The sequence below is a fragment of the Homo sapiens genome, chromosome 5 (genome assembly GCF_000001405.40).
Source record: "Homo sapiens chromosome 5, GRCh38.p14 Primary Assembly".
Classification (NCBI taxonomy): Eukaryota; Metazoa; Chordata; class Mammalia; order Primates; family Hominidae; genus Homo; species Homo sapiens.
In genome coordinates this window covers 171277676-171293340 of record NC_000005.10, presented here as the reverse complement: position 1 = coordinate 171293340, position 15665 = coordinate 171277676, and the positions used below count along the sequence as shown (strand labels likewise).

At 42.7% G+C, this 15665-nt stretch overlaps 1 protein-coding gene and 1 pseudogene across 11 annotated transcripts in view; both read right to left on the bottom strand.

Moving 5' to 3' along the window:
• Positions 1–15665, bottom strand: part of RANBP17 (RAN binding protein 17) — a 437998-nt gene that overhangs the window by 6675 nt on the left and 415658 nt on the right. The gene's annotated exons all lie outside the window — the stretch shown is intronic.
• On the bottom strand, positions 9629–9682 carry LOC124901217 (uncharacterized; annotated as a pseudogene).

Genomic DNA, 15665 nt, shown 5'->3' with positions numbered 1-15665 from the left:
ATTCCTACATGTACATTACTCATCCGTTCTCTTAAATTCAGCCTGTAAGATCCATAGGGGAGATAAGATTATACAGGCATTTACCACAACCTCTGACATTAAGTAGTTTGAAACCTCCTGGGGGAGACTACTTAGGAGAGAAATAACAGGAAATAGGGCTGGGCAAAGTGCAGTGGGCATGCGAGGAGGCAGGGATGACTCTGGGTCCTTGAGGAGAAGTCAGGGAAGACTGCACGGAGAAGGTAACATTTAAAGAGTTCATTATAAATGTGTTCTAAGCAAAGAAGGCATCAAAAAAGGAGGGTGGGGATGCACACAAAGGGTTCTGCCATGGTAAGAAACTTAGCATGACAGGAGAGAAGAGAGGTGGGCCAGAGGTGAGACGCCAGTGCCAGACTGGAAGACCCTGCTGAGGAATCTGGATTTCATCCTGATGGTAGTGGGGAGCTAGTGATATGTTTGCAGCACAGATGAGACATGCTCTGATTTGCATTTAAGAAAGATCTCTTTGGGGACATGTAGAATGTGTACTGTGCAGGTGAAACTAAAGGAGAAAGACCAGGGATGAGGCTGCTGCGATAGTCCAGGCAAGTGGCTGTGAAACAGGTTTCTGTCATTCATGTGGAGCTGATGATAGTTTCTGCTTCTTGGACTCTTTACCTCCTACCTCTAAGCTCTTCTGTTCCCACAGCTCCAGAACTCCTTTCCCCAAAAGAGGGCAGGGGAAACGGCAATTACGTGGCAAAGACCACTGCACACACCATCCCTTACTGGGCTTTGGTGGCCTGGCTTGTTTGGAACACAGTTGGTTTTGTCCTCTGGTATTTTTTGAAATCCAATTTATCCTGTGATCTCAGGCAAGTTACTGAACTTCTCTCTGTGTCTCAGTTTCATTAACTATAAGGAGGGAAATAATAATCCAGCACAAGGAAGCTCTGAGAATCAAATGAGATAGTGTACATAAAATGCATTGCAAAGAGTAAAAAGTGCTATAAACATTTAAGGGATATAGTAACAGCAATGAGCTTCTTTGCCGTTCTAAACGTCTGCCATTCTATACATCATCATATCAATTAGGCTGGTTGCAAATGAAATCTGCCAATTGCATATTTATGGTATGTCCAGTCTCTCTGGGGAGAGGACTTAAGCTTGGGATGTTGAACATCATTTGCAGATCACGAGTTTCCATGTACAATCTAACAAGCCACCCAAAGTCATAGAGCCACAAATTAAACTGACAAGCAAAACTAACAGATCCATCTAGACAGTCTAAAATATTATGGGCTTCACAATCTGAAGGCAGAACGGATATTTTAATGGAAAAGATTAAAGTTAGAGGCATCAAATTCCTCCAGTAACTGAAAAAGCATCTTGAAGTGATGTGCCAATTACTTTATATGGTTCTCCTGTGTATTCATTTGTCTGAATGCATGTATTTATGTCTGTAATAAGTAAGGATATGTTTGAATAAAACACTTTTCTAAAAATAAACTGTGCTAAAATGGGTGATTTTTTTTTCTTTTTTATTCTTTTGGAAATACGAAAATTAGTGAGCAAATCAGCTTAAATGGTACTGACATGGCAACCCATATCCAGAATTATTTTTTGTAATATCTTACAGTAGGGTATGGGGGAAACAGCCAACCAATGGGGGCAAATTCCTCTGGAGAAGGGGCATGTGGAAGAATACTGGATGAAATGCTTAAGCACAGAATCACTTCCCAGGTCATATGAAATCTCTGGTGGGAGGCTTTCTGTGGTTAACGACACAAATACAGGAATACTAAAAGGAGACAGCTCTTGGCAATTCTGCACCACCCGGCCCACGGTGAGTCACAAGGTACCATCAGTATTTGGTACAAGGAATGGCTGCGTGAGCTGGGGCTCCAATCCTTCAACTTCTGCTCACTTCCAATACTGCTACAGGGATGGCTGGAATGGCTGTTTCAAATCTGCCCAGCTTCTGGAGGTCTATATCTAAATAAAATAAAATTAAACAAATGTGCCCAACCTAGGCTACATTTTCTAGGGCCTATGTCTGAAAACACATACGATATCTACTGCATTACCCTGAGCAGCTATTCTGCCATACCAGGAAAGGGCCCATTTCTGAGGCAGAGTTGTATGACTTGGTCCACTTAGGAAAAGCATGCCCCACACCGCCTCAGCTGCTTCCTCATTCTCCTCCATTCTTCCCACAGGATTTGGCAGGAGTTTTAGGAAATTTCTCTCAATGAAGAGAAACCAACGTGGTATGGTAAAGCCAGGCTTTGGAGCCAATCAGAATGGAGCCCCAATCTGGCCCTGCCACTTAACTTGAGACATTGGGCGAGTCATTTCACTTATTTGAGCCTTTCTTTCTTTACATATAAAATGGAGGACAATAACAGCTACTTCAAAGGGCTGCTGTGAGGAATAACTTCTCTGATATATATCAAGCATTTGATACTGTGCTTGCCACATAGTAGGCATTCAATCTACTGCTCCTTCACTGCTACTGCAGCTACTCTCTCAGGTCTAGCCCAGTGGAATTTCATCGCTCAATGAAGGGCCCCAATTCATGTCCTGATTAGATACAGATAAATGAGATTATAGTCTCTTCACAACTATCTAACTTTGTTGAGGGTTAAGGTAAAACACAGACACATATACAACCAAAATAGGAAACAGTTCAGAAAGCATCCTTATTTGATCTGGCACATGTTATTTGTAAGGATTTTGAATGACAATGTTTCTGTTGTTCTGAAAACCTGTAATTCTAAATAAAACACAAAATTACTCTACAAATATCTGACCTGGAAAAGTAAAACAAAGCAATGTTGTGTGATCTGTATCTCTGTTCATTCCCCAACTCTTCTCTTATTCTTCTACCCTAACATGGGATGTAAAGCACAAGCATAAAGCAAATTGGACTTTCCTACCCAAATACGCTGTGTCATACTTTCTTTTTCTTTCTTTCTTTTTTTTTTTTTTGAGACGGAGTCTTACTCTGTTGCCCAGGCTGGAGTGCAATAGCACAATCTCAGCTCACTGCACCTCCGCCTCCCGGGTTCAAGTGAGTCTCCTGCATCAGCCTCCTGAGTAGCTGGGATTACAGGCACGTGCCACCACGCCCGGCTAATTTTTGTATTTTTTTAGTAGAGACAGGGTTTCACCATGTTGGTCAGGCTGGTCTCGAACTCCTGACCTCGTGATCCACCTGCCTCCGCCTCCCAAAGTGCTGGGATTACAGGCATGAGCCACTGCGTCTGGCCCGAGTCATACTTTCTCTATGGCAAGGCGGTAACTAAATGCTCACTATTTATTGAGACAGGATTTCACCTGTCACTATCACCAAGGCTAGAGTGCAGTGGTACGCTCTCAGCTCACTACAACCTCTGCCTCCTGGGCTCAAGTGATCCTACTCTCTCAGCCTCCCAAGTAACTGGGACTATAGGCATGTGCCACCACACCTGGCTAATTTTTGTATTTTTAGTAGAGATGGGGTTTCACCATGTTGGCCTGGCTGGTCTCAAACTCCTAACCTCAAGTGATCTGCCTGCCTTGGCCTCCCGAGGTGCTGGGATTACAGGCGTGAGCCACTGCACCTAGCCTGTTCATTTTTAGAGATGGGGTCTTACTCTGATGCTCATGCTGGAGTGCAGTGGTGTGATCATGGCTCACTGCAGCCTCGAACTCCTGGTCTCAAGCAACTCCACCTCAGCCTCCTGTGTGGCTGGGACTACAGGCAGGTGCCACCATACTTGGCTAATGGTTTGATTTTTTTGTAGAGACCAGATCTCTTTTTGTTGCCCAGGCTGGTCTCCAATTCTTGGCCTCAAGCAATCCTCCCCCCTCAGCCTCCCGAAGTGCTGGGAGTGAGCCACTGTGCCTGGCCGAAATGCCCAATTTAAACCCCGTCTGTTCTGTCTCCTGCTGAAATAGAATAGACAAAGATGTGGTTTGTGTTGGATGCTTTACTGCTAGAGAGTGAACTGTATTTTTTTCTAAGAAAGTTGAAGGCTCAGTGGGTCTAGAATCTGATGGCTGGACCTTATCAAAGAGCAGGATGGTTGGAGAAATAGGAGCAAAGGCTGAGAAAATGGAAAAAGCCAACTTGAATGAGTACAGGGTGATGATTGCAATGGCAGTGGGGTGAGGAGACTGGATTGCAAACTCCTGTGGTACTGTATCCCCAGGGCCTAGGGTTAGGCACTGGCACACATCAGAGATTTAGGAAAGAGCAACTGAAAGAGTAAATACATAAATGAATAAATGCAAAAGGATGAATGAAGTATCATAAGGTAAAGTATAAAGAGCTAAAGAGTTGAAAGGGCACTGTACAGAAAACAGGGAAGTTCTTGTCTTAATCTATGACTAAAACTTAAAATGGTTACATACTGGAATTAATACATTGTTCATTTGCAAGGATCTTGTTTTTGTGTGTACAGCCTGAGAACTCTTCCATGCCACTGCTGTCCTATAGCCAGCTCCAGAGAGTGCCTTTGTAGGGGCTTGCAGGTTGCAAAGGTCAAAGGCCAGGGCACCATCATTTCTAATGACAAGAACTTTCACCTAACAGTAGGCTGTGCCTGACAAGTATTCCCACCATCCAACAACAATAATAGCCCTCATTTATGGAGCATCTTCTGGGTGCTCAGTGCTCTGCTGGGCACTTGCATACATCATCTCTAATTCTCAACTAACCATGGGAAGTAGATATTATTCCCGTTTTATAGACTAAGGATCTGAGGTTCTGGGCAAATAAATAACTTGTTCAAGGTACTGCAGCTACCAGGATGTGAAGCTGAACCGGGATATGTGCATAGGTCTGCCTAAGTCCATCATGCCAGTCTGCTGGCTGCCACTGTCTTGTTGTCTGAGTGAGGACCAAGACCACCAGCATAGTGGCTGAGGCTGTACGACCTACTTTACACATCTGGAGGACTGATGGTGTGACAAAAAAGGCTCATTTCTGGCCATGGCTCATTCTTCCACCTTCAGTGAATCTCTTAGGTATGTGGTCCATGTGTACCTCCTCCATTCAGACACCCTTGGCGCCTACTGATGAGTGAGGCCACCACTGAAATTCTTGTGGTTAGAATCCAGGGTAGTGATTCCTGGAGAGTTCTCAGCAGACCTTCCTGCCTCCCACCTAAGGCTTTTATAGCAGAGTTGGTCAACATTTTCAGACTCTCATGATGAACAATGGCAGCCTTAACAGGCTGTCTCTGGAAAATGGTCCACTGAACATTTTGATAAAAATAATGACTTTCCTCCCACCAAAAGTAATGTACACAGCAATTTAAATTAACAAAATAGGAAGCATTAGTAAATTAAGCCAATTTCCCTTGAGTAAAATGAACACTTTTTATTGTTAATGTTAAGCATACTGAATAATATAACTAAAAAAAATTCCATAAAGTTCTAAGAAACAGGAGAAAAAAATTCAGACTATTCCCTCCTGCTCCCCATTGGTACCATAAAGACAAAACTGAAGCTAAAGTGATGATATGAACCCTGGTCCAGCCTGGCTGAACCCAGGAGGTGGAGGTTGCAGTGAGCTGAGATCATGCCACTGTACTCCAGTCTGCGTGACAGAGTGAGACTCCATCTCAAAAAACAAAAAACAACAGCAACAACAAAAAAGAAGGCTCTGGTTTAGGCGAAGGAAGGACAGACCAAAAAGACAGACCAAAGAAAAGGTGAGAGACCAATGACAAAGCATCCCTGTATCTGGACCTGGATAGGGGGTGGGGACTGGGGAGGGCAGAGGACAAAAAAAAAAAAGGATGATCAGAGCTGTGCCCAATAGGGTATGCACCATAGAATAGGATAACTTAATCTGTTAATCATTTTTTTTTTTTTTTTGAGATGGAGTTTCGCTCCTGTCGCCCAGGCTGGAGTGCAATGTTGTGATCTCGGCTTGCTGCAACCTCCGCCTCCGGGGTTCAAGCAATTCTCCTGCCTCAGCCTCCCAAACAGCTGGGGCTATAGGCACGGGCCACCACACCCAGCTTTTTTTCTATTTTTAGTATACATGGGGTTTCACCATGTTGGCCAGGCTGGTCTTGAACTCCTGACCTCAGGTGACTCGCCCACCTTGGCCTCCCAAAGTGCTGGGATTACAGGCGTGAGCCACTGCACCCGGCCAATCTGTTAATCTTAATTTGTCAGCCTTAATGGGAAGAGGAATAGGATACAAAATTATCTGTACTTCTGACCAAGCTAGATTGTCCTTCATTCTGATTCAGTAAGTTGGTCATGTTTTGAGGAACAACCAATAATAAATGCATCTAAGTTTCAAGAGCTGCTTCTGAGTCTCAGGAATTTTCTGGCACTTGTCATTGGCCTTTCAGAAGGTCAGTAAAAGAGAAGGGGAAGGCTGGCCCCAACAAAAACAATAAAACAAAAACAAACAAACAAAAAACATGATTGCTTACAGTAGAGTAGGATTTGAAAAAGCAGAGAAACCTACCCATCTCCACAGCAATTTCACCTAAGCCCCATGCCCTGGTTGGAGACCCAGGATTAGGCAAAATCTGAGTGCTACTGAAAGAGAAAAAGCTTCCAGATTTTCAGGGTTTGTGGAAGTAAGGGGGTTTCTGTCATTTTGAAATGCTGTTCCTGAGGCCATGTGTACAGCGGATATTGAAATGTGATCCTGCTCAAATTAGATAATAGTTATCTTTAGGGAAAAGAAATCAATTGTTCTCTCTGTCTGCTATTCGCCTATGTGATATTAGTGGAATGCTATGAAAAATGAACATAATGGATAAATAAGCATATAATTAGTTATATTTTCCTGCCTGGATTAACTAAGTTCTACCATCTAAGTTACATTAAATTTTAAAATTATCTATATATAAAAATAACATTACTAACTGCTTATAGTGTTTTTGTAGCCTTATAATAAAAGTATTTAGCATTTTAAATTAAAAAAAAGTCAAATGAAATGCAGGATGAGGTGCACCTCTCTTTTAAAAAAACAAGACTGCAATCAATTACAGATGACCTGCTCTCCCCTGGAATCACTGGGGATCCCTGCCAACTTGTTCTTTGCACAATGCTAGTCTTGCTGTTAAAAAAAGAAGCTTTTTACCTCAAAAGCACCTCAGGACCAGGAAACTCAGCTGGTTTTGGTCATATATTAGCACTGCATGCTTCCACATCTCAACTAAAAGCATCCCCCACTCTGCCATCCCCTCCTTACGGAAAGCTAAGGGATGCTTTTGCTCAAAGTGATTAATTGCTTCAAAAATTAAGAAACTCTTCCAACCATTGTTACATCTAAGGAAAAACACAACCTAGTTTTGCTGTTTCAATTTACTCTATTACCAACATTACCCCTAGTTCTCAAAACATCCATTTTAATCACAGTTTACTGGGGAAAGAATTACCTGTCAGTCTCCTAGCTTGTAAGAAAGAAGATAAAGTTAGAATGAAACTTCAGGATTAATTAATTGAGAGTACTGCATGTAATGTGTCTATTCTGAATGTTACTGCACACATCACAATGAAAGCAGTTTTATTTTCCATGGTTGAAATAAATTATGATAAATAATTCATTTCAATGGCAGAGATGTACTGTGGAGCAACAGCAACAAAATTGACTACACTACACCACTGTGAGTCTCATTCCTGAATCTTCATTATCCATTTGAAACTTTTTACGAGTAGTAAATCATATTTCAAGTGGCTGCAGATCTCATAAAGCAGCTTGCTGCATTAAAATAAAACCAGAAAACCTGGGGCATTGGAAGGCTGCAGGGTTTGCCACTCAGCACTATTTGGGAAACTCTCACTCTTGCCAATATCAAACAGAACACTTTTCGATTTGATGTAAAAATTAAGGATTACTTGTCAAAAATACCATCTAAATTTCCTCTGGGTAGGAATGAGGGAAGATCTGTATTTTTGAGGAACAACTTTCAACTCCAAAGCCACTTTCCCCTAATTTTTATTCAAGTGACACTTATTTTTGGTTCATGGTACTTCCTGAATGACTACCACATAGGTTCTAGAACCTCTAATGGCCTATACCAGCCTCTGGGGGTCCCCCAACTAGCAAACAATGTGTGCAAGCTTAAGAGAGACTAACACAGGCACATGTGCTCTGATTCTATCTAAAAAGACCAGCCTATCTTCATAGGATAGGTGATTTTAAGTTGAATCTTAAAAGATGCATATAGCATTACCTGGGAAGAAGTATATATTTGGAAGAGGAAATAAAATGAGAAAAGACACTGGAGACAGAGCTTGGCATGTTTGAGGAACGAACAGCCCATGCACAGGAGGTTTTTGAAAAAGACCTTTTGAGTGGCAGGGAGTAGATTTAAGGGGCAAGGAGTAGAAGACTGGGCTTGGTCCAGGCTATAAAAGGGCTTTTATGCCATGCTGAATATAGAAACGAGTTTGGGCTAATACATGAAGGGTAGCCTTCAAAGAATTTTCCAGGAGAAGGTGACATGATGAGGTCTGCCATTTAGAACAATACTGATTAGGTTCTGGAGAACAGCAATTACGGGTAAGTACCAGAGGCAAGGTAAGAAGTTTAGATACTGCAAGAAATTCAAAATGAGGGGAGTTGAGGGGTAGGGTAGCAGAGACAGACAGAAATGGCCAGAATCCTTGACTGCATACCCCATTTTCTTCCCAGTGAAATACTTCTAAGAAGCATAACCTTAGAAACATACTGAAGCTGTGGATAAATTCAGAGCTTTAGGAACATGGCCTCAGGCTGGGCGCGTGGCTCACGTCTGTAATCCCAGCACTTTGGAGGCCAAGGTGGGCAGATTGCTTGAGTTCAGGAGTTCGAGACCAGCCTGGGAAACATGGTGAAACTCCACCTTTACAAAAAAATACAAAAATTAGCCAGGTGTGGTGGTGTGTGCCTGTAGTCCTAGCTACTTAGGAGGCTGAGGTGGGAGGATTGCTTGACCCCTGGAGGCTAAGGCTGCAGTGAGCCATGATCATGCCACTGCACTCCAGCCTGGGTGACTGAGTGAAACTCTGTCTCCAAAATAAATAAACAAAATAAAATAAAATAAAATGAAATAAAAAGAACATGGCCTCAAAGTCAAGACTTCCAATGAAGAGAAGGATGCCAGACTGTTCCAGAAATGCTACAGGTAGTGTAGAGGTGGCTGCTGTTTAGGTGGCTATGGCAATGAATGGAACCCTAAGCAGCGTGCATATGCATCACAGAGATGGCTACAAGCACACGTTTATAGTAAATATTCAGTGAGAAAGTAAACTCTAACTGAGGCCATTCAAAAGCAAGGAAGGGAGCGGGGAAACAGCACTCCACGTTACTAAACAGTCACCAAACATTTCCCAATTATTATCGTACTTCACAACAGAACAGCATAAGCATAATGGCACGAGGGCGTCTCATGCAGTCATCAAAGGAGAGTGCAATGAATATTGTAATGTACCAAGAAGAAAGAGACTGTGAGAGAGACCAAGAAACAGAAACTCTCAGAGACAGAGTCAGACATAAAAACAGAGATGCGGAGAAAGAGCTGTGAGTAAGAGACAGTGTTTCCCCAGTCTCTTTCTTTTGAATGGCCTCAGTTAGAGTTTATTACTGAATAATACAAACATGTGCTTATAGTTATCTCTGTCATGGATATGCACACTGCTTAGGGTTCACATATGCACGTGAACACCCAATCATCATGCTCATGAACTACGAAAGGATCCAAAATGTTTTCATTTTTCATATGGGGGAAAATTATTCTTGTGGACAATTCATGGGACCCTTCAGAAATATTTTCCATTAAGTATTAGAGTTTATATTTAAACCATGCAGAATTTTCAGATTTGAGAGTTTTTATTTATAGTTATCTAATGGCACAGAAAGTGCTGGCCAAGAGGCCAGGGAGATGATTCAAAGACGCTACTGAGATTTGGAAGCTCTTTTTCCCTAATAATTACATAGCCCAAGGAATGCTAGTGACTGAAAGCGTTGGGAATAGAACCTCATTCCTCATTTAAACATTTACTGACCACCTAATTTGGGCAAGGCTCTGTGTCAAACCCTGGGAATATACAGATGAACAAGTCACAGTCCCAGCCCTCAAAGAGCTTACAGTTGAGTAGGGGAGGAGATACACAGTATAGAAACAATGGCAGAAGATACAGTTTAAGTGGCCATAAACAGAAGCTTACACAAGGGGCTTTTAGAAACCAGAGGAGGCTAACCCTGCCTAGGGCTGGAAGCAGCCAGGGATGGCTTCATAGAGAAGGTGACATTTGGATCTGTTGTTGAGAATAAGAGAAGTTTGACAGTCAGGTAGGAAGAAGGGCAAGCAGGTGCAAAGGTTTGGAGAGGAGTCTGGGGGAATGAGGAGCAGTTCTGTGGGAATGGAAAGGGTGGATGGGGAGTACTGGTGGCAGATGAGGGTGATTACATAGGTTGGGCGCAGATCTTGTGTGCAGGAAATGGGGTGCCATTAAAGCTGAATAAATCTTTCTGGCAGTGATGTGGTAGTGAACTGCTGGTTTAACCATTCTCCACAGGGTCTGAGCCTTTAGGAGGTCTGGGCCATCTGATTTTTCCCAAGAAGATGCAGCTTTCAGCCAGGTGCGGTGGCTCACGCCTGTAATCCCAGCACTTTGGGAGGCCGAGGCAGGTGGGTCACCTGAGGTCAGGAGTTCAAGACCAGCCTGGCCAACATCGTGAAACCCCGTCTCTACTAAAAATACAAAAAATTAGCCTGGAGTGGTGGTGCGCACCTGTAATCCCAGCTACTTGGGAGGCTGAGACTGGAGAATTGCTTGAACCAGGGAGGCAGAGGCTGCAGTGAGCTGAGATCATGTGACTGCACTCCAGCCTGGGCGACAGAAAACTCCATCTAACAACAACAACAACAACAACAACAACAACAACAACAACAACAACATGCAGCTTTCTTCCTTTTCTAGGATTGGGAAGCCACAGACACAGAAGGTTTCCTGCTTGGCTCCTGTGCCTTCGTCAAGAGGACACTTCTTGGGTCCTATCTTACTGGCTCTGTTGCCAGTACTCTGAGAAATGGCACTGACATTACTTCCCTTGGCCTATAGCACATAACTTAATAGTGTACCCTGTCAGGAATAGTTCTGTTTGTCAGGAAGCTTTTTATTGATGTTCAACCTTCATTTTCCCTTTCTTAATATTATTCCATTATGCCAATAGTCCATCGTGCCATGCTAAGTAATTCCCTTTCCTTCTTGGCATTTACAACTTCCAAGTATTTATAGACTTATCAAATGCCCCATTTAGTTGTCACTTAGGTAAGCTATACATATTTAGCTTCTTTAATCTGCCCCGATAAGCCAGCCCTTCCATTCTCCTAAATCACTTGAGTTTCTTTCCTCCAGATTTCTGTCAATTTGTTTTCAGGCTCTCTGCAATGCAAGGGGCCAAGGAAAAAGATGAAGTTGGGGAGGGAGGGCTTACTCTCTTGAGGGGTAAGTGTACTAAATGGCCTAGCGTGGAACTTCTGCCCTTAAGGTGCAGTCTCCAAAACAGGCTAAGCCTCAGGAGGGACTATGAATGCCTCTCGTTATCTACAAGGTTTCTTTCACCTGTGTATATTTCAAGTCAATAATATTCTATTATTAGCTCTTTTTATGTGCTAGGTGCACACATGTAACTTCATACTTATTGAGGACCTACAGTGTGTCTGGTACTGTGCTAGGGACTTTTCCTTCTGTCTTTTCCCCTCCCTCTTCATTTCTCACACTTACTCACTGCTCAAGGAATTTCTGACCTCCTACTGTGTGTCAAGCACCATTGGTACGGAATTGGATCAAGTGTGGTCTCTGCGGCCTTCAGGGCTCATGTAGCCTTAGTATTTATTAATCTTCTACTGCCCACCCATCAAGTTGTTTCCTTCCAGTCTTAAGGGGTTCAGAGAGATCCCTAAATGCACTTATCTCTAATTGATGCTTTTAGTTCCCTGACCTTAGTGGAACTTGTTTGCCCCATGTAAAATAAGAAGCCACATTAAATATGGGCATGCACACTGAGCTCTTTTTTAGGGTTTTCTTTCTGGTAGGTTGCCTTGGTGCCTAAGAGATTTCTCTTCAGACCTTGCACTTTCCATCACTGTCTTTCTTGGGAGTTTACTTGACATTTTTTGTTTACAGGATCTCAACGAAGCATATACTCAAATGTTCTCCTTTTCCATGGTACCAATGTTCCAGACTACAGACTAGGCTGAGGGAGTGATGGACTGGGAGAGAATCTAAGACAGTGAGTCTTAACTAAAGTCTGGGAATGACACCACAGGAGGGAGTGGTTCAGTTATCTGATCCTGGAGGCCAGTTCAGGTAAGCTATAGAATTCCCTTGGGTGAGGTGGTGTTATCCTCCAAGAGGTGGAGTAACTATTCCAAGGACATACAGTTAGCAAATAGTATAACTGGTATTCAAAACCAGGTATACCGACTGTAAAACCTGTCTGCCCTGATTGCTGTAAAATAGAAAGTCCCAACAAATATGGAGAATTTGCAATTTAAAAACTTAGAAAGGAGGATGAAATTTCAGTCATTTGAAAGCACTCAGTCTATATTCTTCTAAGCGTGCCAAGGGACAGAGAATAAGCAAGAACTCTTCTAGGTTGCAAAGCATAAGAGGCAGCATTAATTCATGAAAGGCCAGAGGATGAGGGAACCTCTTTTTACCTTGTTCTTCAAATAGTGATAAGATTACAGACAAACAAGGAGTCTTCCTCAACACACTATATAAACTCACAGCTCCATCAGTGGCTACTGCTGGTTAAACTTTCCATGAGTTAAGGCCAGGTATGGTGGTGCACACCTGTAATTTCAGCACTTTGGGAGGTGGGTGGATCACTTCAGCTCAGGAGTTTGGGACCAGCCTGGGCACTATGGTGAAACCCCGTCTCCACCAAAAATACAAAAAAATTAGCTGGGTGTGGTGATGCACAACTGTAATCCCAGCTACTTGCGAGGCTGAGGTGAGAGGATCGTTTGAGCCTGGGAGGCAGAGGTCACAGTGAGCTGAGATTGTGCCACTGCACTCCAGCCTGGGCGACAAGGTGATATCCTATTTAAAAACAAAAACAAAAACAAAACCCCCAAAAAGCCCAAAAAACAACTTTCCATGAGTTAAGAGAGAAATGAATGTAAAGGTTGGATTCACATTTCCAGCACACTACAGCACACTACACTTTGGGAATCACATAATCTAACCTGCAAGTATGTGAAAAACCAGTAATAACTGTAAAATAAATAAGTCATGTGATTTATTAAGCCCACTCTTACTTTATACTGTGCCATTCTTTGAAGAAATTCAAAGAGCTTCTCACACCACTCACAATTCCATGCAGAGAAATGAAGGCAGGGGAAACCTTCTCATTTACTCTGCTGTCTCTCTTAGACAGGGATGAAAAGGTAAGAAGAAATGCCACAGAGAAATAGTAGGTTAAGGCCCTGCGAAAACTTAGTGTGGTATTATAAAAACTGTGTGAGATCTAGTGATAAGAAGCCTTAATTATAATCTAGATGCTACTATTTCCTAGCTGTGTGACTTGGGCAAGTTCTTTCACACATCTCTGAATCTCTGCATAGGTCTCTCATACAGTCACTGCAGGATTAAATTTGTTGATGTACCTAGACTCCTCAGTTAGAAAAAAAAAATCCGTGTTGGCCTTATCTCCCTGTTAGGGTTATTGTGAGAATCAGAGACATTAGGTATGAAGACATTATATGAATGGGAAGAATTATGAGGTACTATGGTTTGAATGTGTCCCCCAAAAAGAATATGTTAGAAACTAATCCCCAATGCAACAGCGTTAAGAGGTGATTAGGCATGAGGGCTCTGCCTTCATGCTTGGATTAATGCCATTATTCTGGGATTGGTTCTTTATAAAAAGGTTGAGTTTGGCCTCCTGGTGCTCTTTCTTGCCCTTCCACCCACCTCCATTAGATGACACAGCAAGAAGGCCCTTGCCAGATGCAGACCCTTGACGTTGGGTTTCCTAGTCTCCAAGACTGTGAGGCAAATACATTTCTGTTCATTACATATTACTCAATCTACGGTATTCTGCTATAATAGCACATAATGGACTAAGAAATTAGATTTATTTCATTTTGGCCACTGCAAGGCAATGCCTGAAGTATGCAGGAGGAACAGGTAAGAAAAAAGTCAGTTTGGGGCCAAGAATTTCAAACTCACACCACACCATGCCCTCACCCAGTCCAGTGAGTGTGATTTTGAGAATGCTTATCACAGAAAGAACATTAAGAAAGGCAAAACACAGGGATGGGACCAGGAAAGATCTCAGTGATATGGCTTCAAAATCAAATTATCTTTGAAAAGAAGTCTTGGGCTTGGAATCTCCTGAAAGGGTATTTTTCACATTTATAGTATAAATAGCAGGGATATTTTCCCCTCAAGGACACAAAAAAGTGGTACCTGCATATCGTTTTTCAAAGTGAAGGCGAATTTTACGTGTTTATCGAATACTTTCTTTGTGTTAGGTAAGTCTATACTCATTGGTTCATTTTGTCCTCACAACTCTCCCGAGTCAAGAGTGGTCTCTGATAAAACTTAAGTCTATAAGGGGTAGTTTCACCCCCAGACAAGGCAGTGCAGTTAAGTCTCTCAAGGGCTTGGAACCATGGACAAGGCAGCTGGCAGGGTATTTCTCAGTCTTTTTCTTTCTCTGGGGCTGCTTGGCCTCTCATTTGAGATCCTCGGCATGTCTGCTTCTTTTTTCTCTCCTCTAGGACTGGCTATTTCTCTGAGCATATGGCAGGGAATGGCTGCCTCATGGCTCTTGAGTTTTCACGTCTTCAATTTAGGTGAGGACTAGTGGCTGACCAGCATCTTTATAAATTTTTTTTTTGAGATGGAGTCTCAGGCTGGAGTGCAATGGCGCCTCACTGCAACCTCTGCCTCCTGGGTTCAAGCAATTCTCCTGCCTCAGCCTCCCAAGTAGCTGGGATTACAGGCATGCCCCATCACACCCAGCTAATTTTTGAATATTTTTAGTAGAGACGGGGTTTCACCATGTTGGTCTGGCTGGTCTCGAACTCCTGACCTCATGATCCACCCGCTTTGGCCTCCCAAAGTGCTGAGATTACAGGCGTGAGCCACCACACCCGGCCAATTTAATTTTTTTTGTAGAGACAGAGTCTTGCTATGTTGCCCAGGCTGGTCAGGAACCCTTGGCCTCAAGCAATCCTCCTGCTTCAGCTTTTAGTGAAATCCTAAATAGCTTCAGCTTCTCAAATTGCTGAGATTACAGGCATGAGCCACTGTGCCTGGCAACCAGCATCTGTTAAGTGCCAGTTTCTAAATCTAGGGAGGAACGACTCAAACTGAGCCAGCTTGGGTCAAATGTCTACCTCCTGTCCAATCAGTTCTAAAAAATCAAAAAAAAAAAAAAAAAAAAAAAAAAAAAAAGAAAGAAGTCCTAGGCTCAAGGACTGAAGACTCAATTCAGTTCTTGATTGAAGAATGCTGTATGGCTCTTCCTGCCACTCTTCCATCACTGCCAATCCTGTTTCTAGGCCAGTTAGTTAATAGTACTGTACAGTGGTTAAGAGCACAGGTTCTGCTACTTATTAGCTGTATGATACTGGGTGAGTTTTTTAACTTCTCAGAGCTATAATTACAATATTTTGATTACAAAATGGAGATAAAATACCTACCTCACAGAGCTGTAA